Source organism: Homo sapiens, chromosome 17 (assembly GCF_000001405.40).
Source record: "Homo sapiens chromosome 17, GRCh38.p14 Primary Assembly".
Classification (NCBI taxonomy): Eukaryota; Metazoa; Chordata; class Mammalia; order Primates; family Hominidae; genus Homo; species Homo sapiens.
This window is the reverse complement of record NC_000017.11, coordinates 40,109,781-40,119,122: the sequence shown is the minus strand read 5'-3', so window position 1 is coordinate 40,119,122 and position 9,342 is coordinate 40,109,781. Positions and strand designations below refer to the sequence as shown.

At 48.6% G+C, this 9,342-nt stretch overlaps 5 annotated features.

Annotated features, from left to right (window-relative positions):
* Window positions 3,688-4,473: an enhancer, noted in NCBI's record as "NANOG-H3K27ac-H3K4me1 hESC enhancer chr17:38270903-38271688 (GRCh37/hg19 assembly coordinates)". NCBI's record gives its function as "activates a minimal SCP1, AML or CMV promoter by ChIP-STARR-seq in naive H9 embryonic stem cells {active_cell/tissue: H9 hESC(naive)}" and the evidence as "EXISTENCE:reporter gene assay evidence [ECO:0000049][PMID:30033119]".
* Window positions 4,474-5,261: an enhancer, noted in NCBI's record as "NANOG-H3K27ac-H3K4me1 hESC enhancer chr17:38270115-38270902 (GRCh37/hg19 assembly coordinates)". NCBI's record gives its function as "activates a minimal SCP1, AML or CMV promoter by ChIP-STARR-seq in naive H9 embryonic stem cells {active_cell/tissue: H9 hESC(naive)}" and the evidence as "EXISTENCE:reporter gene assay evidence [ECO:0000049][PMID:30033119]".
* Window positions 5,292-5,351: an enhancer, noted in NCBI's record as "active region_12130". NCBI's record gives its function as "activates an Ori minimal core promoter by ATAC-STARR-seq in GM12878 lymphoblastoid cells {active_cell/tissue: GM12878}" and the evidence as "EXISTENCE:reporter gene assay evidence [ECO:0000049][PMID:35858748]".
* Window positions 5,372-5,591: an enhancer, noted in NCBI's record as "active region_12129". NCBI's record gives its function as "activates an Ori minimal core promoter by ATAC-STARR-seq in GM12878 lymphoblastoid cells {active_cell/tissue: GM12878}" and the evidence as "EXISTENCE:reporter gene assay evidence [ECO:0000049][PMID:35858748]".
* Window positions 8,048-8,988: an enhancer, noted in NCBI's record as "H3K27ac-H3K4me1 hESC enhancer chr17:38266388-38267328 (GRCh37/hg19 assembly coordinates)". NCBI's record gives its function as "activates a minimal SCP1, AML or CMV promoter by ChIP-STARR-seq in primed H9 embryonic stem cells {active_cell/tissue: H9 hESC(primed)}" and the evidence as "EXISTENCE:reporter gene assay evidence [ECO:0000049][PMID:30033119]".

Below are 9,342 nucleotides of genomic sequence, written 5' to 3'. Positions count from 1 at the left end.
GAAACCCCGTCTCTACTAAAAATACAAAAAATTAGCCAAGCATGGTGGCGGGCGCTTGTAGTCCCAGCTACTCGGGAGGCTGAGGCAGGAGAATGGCGTGAACCCAGGAGGCAGAGCTTGCAGTGAGCCGAGATCGCGCCACTGCACTCCAGCCTGGCGACAGAGTGAGAGTCCGTCTCAAAAAAAAAAAAAAATTTAGCCGAGCCTGGTGGCAGGGGCCTGTAGTCCCAGCTACTCGGGAGGCTGAGGCAGGAGAATGGGGTGAACCCGGGAGGCAGAGCTTGCAGTCAGCCGAGATCCCACCACTGCACTCCAGCCTGAGTGACAGAGGGAGACTCCATCTCAAAAAAAAAAAAAAATACATATATATATATATATATATATATATATATATATATGTATATGTATGTCCAAAATCCCACAGTTTCTCAACACCTCCACAACTTCCACCCTGGCCTCTGCCACACAATCCTATCTCACTTGTTTTAATTGCAGTAACTGTAATTGGTCTCTCAGTTTCAACCTTTGCCTTCCATCACTTAAGTCTACTCAGCAGCCACAGTGGTCCTGGTAAGATGGGAGTAAGATCATGATCTTTCTCTACTCAGAACCCTCTCATGGCTTCCCATCTCACTTGGAGTAAAAGTAAAATCATTAAGGCTTGTAGGATCTGGCTCCCTGGTACTGCTCTCTGACTTTAGTTTCTACTGTTATTCACTCCTTTCTGTTGGCCCCTTCAGGCCCTTGCAGTTGCTGTTCCCTCTACCTAGATCCCTCTTCCTTCAGATGTCCACATGACTTCCTCCCTCACCTCCTTCAGCTCTTTACTGTATGTCAGCTGAGACCTTTGGCCCCCGCTATGTATACTCACAGCCTTCTCCAAACCGCCTCTTCCCTTTTTTTGCTTGATTTTTCTCCTTAGCATGTATTACCTCTAATTTACCTTATTACCTTATCCTCCCCCACTACAATGTAAACTTCATAGTTTTGGGGGGTTTGTTTGTTTTTTAAGACGGAGTCTCACTCTTACCCAGGCTGGAGTGCAGTGGTGTAATCTCGGCTCACCGCAACCTCTGCCTCCCAGGTTCAAGTGACTGTTCTGCCTCGGCTGCCCAAGTAGCTGGGATTACAGGCGTGCACCACCACGCCTGGCTAATTTTTGTGTTTTTAGTAGAGACAGGGTTTCGCCATGTTGACCAGGCTGGTATCAAACTCTTGACCTCGAGAGATCCACCTGCCTCAGCCTCCCAAAGTGCTGGGATTAAAAGTGTGAGCCACAGCACTGGGCTGCTTCATGTTTTGTTACTGCCATATCCTCAGCACCTAGAACCATACCTGCCACAAAGTAGGCATTTAATAAATATTGGTTAAATGATTAAATGAGCTGTTTAGATATATTAAGAGAAAGCATCTACCTACCTTTGACCTTTAGCTTGACTGAGGGTGGCAGTTCTATTAAAAAATAGGGCCGGGTGTGGTGGCTCACGCCTGTAATCTCAACACTTTGGGAGGCCAAGGCATGAGGATCACCTGAAGCCAGGCGTTTGGGACAAGCCTGGGCAACATAGTGAGACCCTGTCTCTACAAAAAATTTAAAAATTATGGCTGGGTCTGGTGGCTCACACCTGTAATCCTAGCACTTTGGGAGGCCGAGGCAGGCAGATCGCTTGAGGTGAGGAGTTTGAGACCAGCCTGGCCAACATGGTGAAACCCCCAGTCTCTACTAAAAATCCAAAAATTAGAGTAGGAGACCGTGTGGCCTTAATGGATAAGGTGTCTGACTTCAGATCAGAAGATTGAGGGTTTGAGTCCCTTTGTGGTCATAACGTTTGGTCGGGTGCGGTGGCTCATGCCTGTAATCCCAGCACTTTAGGAGGCCGAGGCAGGCGGATCACCTGAGGTCAGGAGTTTGAGACCAGCCTGGCCAACGTGATGAAACCCCGTCTCTACTAAAAATGCAAAAATTAGCTGGGCATGGTGGTGGATGCCTGTAATCCCAGCTACTCGGGAGGCTGAGGCAGGAGAATCGCTTGAACCTGAGAGGCGGAGGTTGCAGTGAGTCGAGATCGTGCCATCGCACTCCAGCCTGGGCGACACAGCAAGACTCCCATCTCAAACAAACAAACAAACAAAAATTAGCCAGATGTGGTGGCGCACACCTGTAATCTCGGCTACACAGGATGCTGAGACAGGAGAATCGCTTGAACCTGGGAGGCAGAGGTTGCAGTGAGCCAAGATCAAGTCACTGCACTCCAGCCTGGGTAGCAGAGTGAGGCTCTGTCTCAAAAAAAAAAAAAAAAATTAGCCGAGCATTGTGGTGCATGCCTGTAGTCCTAGCTACTTGGGAGGCTAAGGCGGGAGGATTGTTTGAGCCCGAGAGGCTGAGGTTATAGTGAGCTATGATCACACTGCTGAACTCCAGCCTGGTTGATAGAGCAAGACTCTGTCTCTAATAAAATAGTGAAACCTAGAGAAGAGTAAATTTGTCTAGGAACAAATTTGAACATACCATCTGGAAGGAATTAAGGAGGAAGTGACAACTGAGGTGGGCCTTGAAGGTTGAGATCAAAGGACATTTCAGGCAGAGGTAAGAACATTGCAGCTGGGCACAGTGGCTCACACCTGTAATCCCAGCACTTTGGGAGGCCGAGGCGGGCAGATCACGAGGTCAGGAGATCAAGACCATCCTGGCTAAGACGGTGAAACCCCGTCTCTACTAAAAATTAAAAAAAATAGCTGGGCGTACTGGCAGACGCCTGTAGTCCCAGCTACTTGGGAGGCTGAGGCAGAATGGCATGAACCTGGGAGGCAGAGCTTGCAGTGAGCCGAGATCGCGCCACTGCACTCCAGCCTGGGAGACAGACTCTGTCTCAAAAAAAAAAATTAGCTGGGCGTGGTGGCATGTGCCTGTAGTCCCTCCTAATAGGGAGGCTAAGGCAAGACAGGAGAATCACTCAAACCCAGAAGGCGGAGGTTGCAGTGAGCCGAGATCTCACCACTGCACTCTAGTCTGGGTGAGAAGAGCGCAACTCCGTTTCAAAAAAAAAATAGGATGTAACTGTAGAAAATGGGAGAAGTTCATTGGAGTGTAGTTCTGGATAGTGGGGCATGTAGGGGATAAAACAGATTGAGACCAGATTATGAAGGTCTGAAGGCCCAGTTAAGGAATGTATAATTTATCAGCCTTGGTGAAACATCAGAGGATTTCCACCAAAGTATAGAATGATTAGATTTGTGTATCTGAAAGCTAACTTCAATATTTGCGTCTCTGCACCAAAAGCCGGAGGCCAACTTGAAGGCTGTTAGTGCAGGTGTGAGATGATGAGTGGTTAAGATACTAGTAGTATGGGGATATAGAGGGAATGACAGGAGGAGACTCAGCTGTTAAGAGCAAAGTTTCTGGTGTGAAACTGCAAATAGCAATCACAGTTCTCCCGTTTAGTGGCTGTGTGTTATTTAACCTCTACCTCAGGTTGCTTATCTGTAAAATGACTATACTAATACCTTACTTCACAGGGTTATTGTGAGGATTAAATGAGATAATCCATGTAAAATGTTTATCATAGCATGTGGCACCTAGTAATGCTTGATAATGTAGTTATCACATTATTACTAATTGGCAGCATTTGTTGATCAATAGAAAGTGGGGTGAGGGAGAAGGAGGGCTTTACCGTCAAATTTCTAAGACTAACCAGCTGGCAATTCCATGAATAAATTATATGTTTTCTTCCTCTCTAGCCCAATTGTGGTTCCAGGCCAGCACCTTCAGTATCACCTGGAAACTTGTTAGATATGCAAATTCTTGGCTTCCCACCTTAGACCTAATGAATAAGAAACTGTGGGGTGAGATGCAGCACGTGGTGTTTTAACAAGCCCTCCAGGTGATTCTGATGTACTTCAAGTTTGAGAACCACTGCTTGGGACTCTACAACTGGGGTTGGTTGACTTTTTTTTTTAAACGGGGTCTGGCTGTGTTGCCCAGGCTGGAGTCCAGTAGCTGTTCACAGACATTATCATACCTCGAACTCCCAGGCTCAAGTGATACTCCTACCTCAGCCTCCTGAGTCACCGGTACTACAGGTATGCACCACCATGCCTGGCTAATTTTTACATGACATGGGGCCTCACCATGTTGCCCAGGCTGGTCTCAAACTCCTGGGCTCAAGTGACCCATCCGCCTTGGCCTCTCAAAGTGCTGGGACTACAAGCATGAGCCACTGTGCCTGGTCTCAACATTTTTTTTTTCTGGAAACTTTACAGCTCTGAAATCCAAAGTCTAGGATTTCACTGCTCCAGACTAAGTAAACATGCTTTTCCCCACCAAAGCCAAAGCTGGAATTTTTGGATTGGAGGTCTGATCTTGATCTCAATACACAGGATGACCTGGCTAAACCACCAGAAAACTGAAACCTGAGAAGAGAAGGTCTTCTAAGAAGGGAAAGGAATTCTTGTTTCCAAACCATTAAGTTTTAAGCTGTGGTGATCCCTGAACTAAGAAATGTAAAGAAGGGAGCTCTCAAAGGCCCAGAGGGGCAAAGTGGAGTTGCCAGCTGTGAGGGAGCCTAGGAAAACTGTGTTTAGGACCATAAATCAAGTCCTTAAGTCTTTTTTTTTTTTCTTTTTTTTGAGACGAAGCCTTGCTCTGTCACCCAGGTTGGACAGTGCAGTGGTGCAATCTCGGCTCACTGCAACCTCCACCTCCTGGGTTCAAGCAATTCTTTTCTGCCTCAGCCTCCCGAGTAGCTGGGATTCCAGGCGCCTGCCACCATGCCCGGCTAATTTTTGTATTTTTAGTAGAGACGGGGGTTTCACCATGTTGGCCGGGCTGGTCTCGAACTCCTGACCTCAGGTGATCCGCCCACCTCAGCCTCCCAAAATGCTGGGATTATAGTCACCGTGTCCGGATTGAGCCACAGTGTCGGGCCTCCCTAAGCAATTCTGTCCCTAATGAGATAATGACCATTCTTTTTGCCTTCTGGCTAAGAGTATGGAAAGAGTTAAAAGCCAATACTTTCACCACCCCTCTAAGGCTTATAGAATGGCAGAATTCCATTTCTATGACCTACATTCTTTGAAGGGAATGCCTATGTCGTGGAAAGAGGATGCAGCAAGACTTTTCACTTGACTGGGCTTGGTTTTCCCAGACCAAAAAATAAAATGGAAATAAATCATCTTTAAGGTCCCTTGCAGCTTTATGACTGTATAAAGCTACGTTTTCCAGCTAACAGTGGGGCAGAAGTAGGTAGAAAAAAGAGGAGACTTGTTTTGGCCACTCCCCAGGGAAAGAGGATTCATCTGGGTGGTTTCCTGAAGCTCTCGGAAAGGTAAATAGAGACTGGAGTTGTGTGACTGGTATTACCCCAGTCCTGTGACACTGAAAGGACACCACAGTTGGAGAGGCCACCTTTGCCTTCTCCGGGAGGATGGGGGATGGGAAGCCAGCGTGGAGCCACAGAGGCTTCCAGCTCCGCAGCCTGGCCTGGCTCAGCTCTTTCTGGCAGAAACCATGTCCTGCGTTCCAGGCTTCCGCGAGCAGGATGCTAGTGTGCTGCTCTCCTGCTCCCCTCTGCGGGGGCCTCTCAGAGGGTAGGACACACCCTCCTTGCCTTTTTTTTTTCCCCCTATTAAAAATCACAACTCAAATTTGGGTATTTTTCTCCCTCTGCTAGCCCCGCCAAAACTTTCAGCGCGTTCCGCCCACTCCACGTGGACCTCCCTTCCCTGTCCCAGCAGCCCCTGCGAGAACCCTCACCCCAACATGTGACCAATTGTTATGTTTCCTTCCTGGAGCTCGCTTTCAGCTGGCACCAGCTAACGACTGAACAAAAGTGCCCCCTTCAGGGTGAATGTGGGGCAGCAGCTTGAGAGGAGGAAAGCTGATGAGGGCTCAGGTACAATAGGGGAATGCAGCTGCCTCTGTTTAAAATGATTTCATATCTACATAGCTCCCTGGCTAAGGATTACACAATCAAACGATGAGACAAATGCAAGAGAAGGATGTCATCAAATAAAATTACTTGGGGGTGGAGTTGAATAAAATTTTAATTTCCAGCTGCAAAGTTGGTTACCTCTACTCCAACTCCATTTCCCGTTGAGTTCTTCATGATGTTGGCAGAGCACTCAGATCCTCCCATTCCAGACAAGAGCCAAGAATGCCCTAATTATGGGCTGGGTGATGGGAACAGGGCCTCCTCTGGGTGGGTGAGCTGCTTTTTGCTCACTACCACTACCCGCTTCCCCAGCAACACTCTAGTTGTCTCTTTAAGAGCTCGGACTCCTCAAGCTGACATAGTTTCCAAAATGGAATCTCTCCCTCTCTCAGCACTGGGGAACATTTTCCCTGGATGGGAAGAGCCCCAGGAGATCATGTTGGAGGAAGGAGGAGTAGGGCGGGGCAGCAAAAATTAGTCCAGTGGGAAGCCTTGGTACATGGAACAAGGGGGCTAACCAGGGAAAGTTAGAAAATAGGTCAAAGGAAGCCATGCAGAGGGAACTAGTTTCCTTGGAAAAATTTCTAAGCTTTGTCCATTTTTCACCTCACTCCTATCCCCTACAGGAGATGTGGGATTGGGGGATTGGGTAGGGAACTGGGGGTGAGGGAACATTCAAGGTTGGAGGCTGACTTGGGGAAGGAGTTGTGGGCAAGGCTCAGAGGAGGAAAACTAGGACTAAGTAGTGCAGGTAGGGAGGGGTAAATTTAAAATCAGAATTATTGTGGGGCCATTTCTCCCTCCAAGGTCATAGGGGTCATGGACAGTGAATGGTCCAGAAGCTACAAGCCGGGGAGCCCTAGGAGGGGGATCTCAGTAGCCAGGAAGCACACTACCCAGGGGCATGTTAAACAGTAATTTATGGAAGACAATGGAAGTAGTCCTGGGGCACCTATTTTTCCGTGTGTGTATTTCAACTTTTATTTTAGATTCAGGGGGTACATATGCAGGTTTGTTACAAGGGTATATTGTGTAATGGTGAAGTTTGGGGTATGACTGAACCTGTCACCCAGGTAGTGAGCATAGTACCAATAGGTAGTTTTTCAATCCTTGCTGGGGCACGTGTTTTCAAGGGAAACAGCCCAAAAGCGATCAAACTAGAATGTTGAGGACTCTAGCCAGGACATTTGCTCTCCTATAACTCAGCATCTGTCAGCGCTCCCATTACCAGGTGCTATTTCCAGAGTCCTGGGCTTAGGGAGAGGGAAAGGGAGGGGCGGAGGTGGAGAGGCAGAGGGAGACCCGATGGGCTCCTCCCCCAGCACAACTGCAATTCCAGCTTTTAGCCACTCAGGGGCTCCCAAGCTCAACCACAGCCCCTGCGTAAGGAGGGAGATTGAGTTAACAAGCCTCCAGAGGACACCTTGGGTCATCAGGGATGACCCTGAGCAGAAGGGTGACCCAGAAGTCATGTGCTCTGAAGCTGCAAGTCCTTCACAAGCCAATGAGTCCAGCCTCAACCTTTCTCTCTAAAAGGGACTCAGGGCACTGAGAACTCACTCCCCACCTCTTACCCTCACCCCCTTCTTTGTGGTCATTTCCTCCCCCGCGTGTTTCCTTCCCCTCCCCCATCCTCGTGGTGGGAACCATCCCCCAGCCTGTCAGAGTCCTGAGGAATGTTTTTGCCTTGACTGGGCGCCAAGCTGTGGACTTCCTGGGCTTTGGGGTGGGACTTGGCCAAGGGGAAGCCCTTTGGACCCAAGAGCCACTCAGTTCTGCACAGCCTGCCGGCTTTCTCTCTCTCTCTGCTAAGCAAAAGGCTCATCCATCACTTTGTGTCACGACTGCCTCATTTCCTCCCCCCACAATAGGATTTCCTTGCCAGGGCAAATCACACAATCTGGAAGCAGTGGTCATCCTAAACACTGTGGCTTATAGTGGGAGAGAGGGAAAGCACCTATTTCAGAAGCTGCCTTCTCTGTTCCAGAAGGCTGGTAGCTGGAAGGAGGGATTCAGTTGCCAGGGTCCTGAGGTAAGGACTTTGTAAATGGTAATTAATCTTGAGGGCTCCTTCTGGATCCTTCTCAGAACCATTGAGTCTAAAGAAATACAGGGTCTCTATATTATAGTTAAGCCTGGGAGTACGTGGATTTCTGCATATCTGACTTTTACCCAGCCTTCGTTTCCCTGAAATAAATCAGCTGAAATCCGAACTCATTCTTCCACATCATCTTTCCAGTCCCCTGCAGCAGACCAGTGTAGGTTCAGCAAGAACAGGGAGCAGGCAGAAACCACTCCCAAATCTCATTAATAGAGACTGGGCCTGTCAGGGACCACTGGCTCCTCTCCAAGGGGTCACTGCTCAGGTGTTTTTGCATTTGATCTCTTCTGATCTCTTGTCCATAAAAAGCCCTCAAATGACAAAGTGAGAACATAGTCCTATGGCATCCCCTGCCTCAGGGTCCAGTCCCTCAATGCCACTTTTGCAGCCTGTCTGCCTGATGTCATCATCTGTAGACCTGTGCCAGATTCCCAGGTTCCTATCTTGAAATCTCAGCCCCCGCACCCAGGGCCTAGGGGAGAGCCAATGTAGGTCACTGCAGTTGAGCCTGCAGGGCTGTCTGCTCCTTGAGCCCAGAGCCTTTCAGGCACAGAGAGAAAGCCTTGCAGAGAAGCAAAAGAAAGGGCTCTGTGAGAATCAGAGAAAAGCTTATTCCTCAAAAAATGAAGCAGGGAGAGGCCAGGAGTCAGCTGCTCAGACTGAGACAGTAACAGGAGTTCTGCTCCTGAGAACTGCCTGTGATGGAGAGAAGGCCCAAGGAGAGGGGCTGGGCATGGCTCACATCCCTCCCAACCCCCTAACCCCCATTTGCCTGTGTAAGGGAACCCTTTGGATCTGGTGTCCATCCCTCATTCTCTACTCTCTTTCCAGGCTCAGGTTTCATTCTCAGGAGCTTTTGTGATTTGCCTTAGGGACCCTTTGTTTCCTCTGGCCACAGTTTCTGGGTCTCAGGAAGGTGGAGTAGGCCAGGGATGACCCCGCCCTCCCCTATTGAAAGACTTTTCCTGCTTGTTATCTGCTAAACTCATTTTACCCAGGGAACTTCCAACCTTCTGGGACTTCATTCCTTCTCTTGGTCTCCCTACCCTAGCATCTGAGATCGCAGGGAGTGTTTGTGTGTGCCTGTGTGCATGGTCCTCATCTTCTTTTAGTTACTCATGGGAAGTCAAGAGCCTATGGCTGTTAACTAACTTGGGGTCCCCATGGCCAGCAAAAATAGATAAGGGCTTAATTTCTACCTCCAGCCTCAAAACAATTTAAGCCACAATCATTTGTTCTAATAGGAGCCTCGGGACAGGAAGAAAAGTAGGTAAGATGGAGAAAGGATAAACAAATAAAATTCTAACCTTT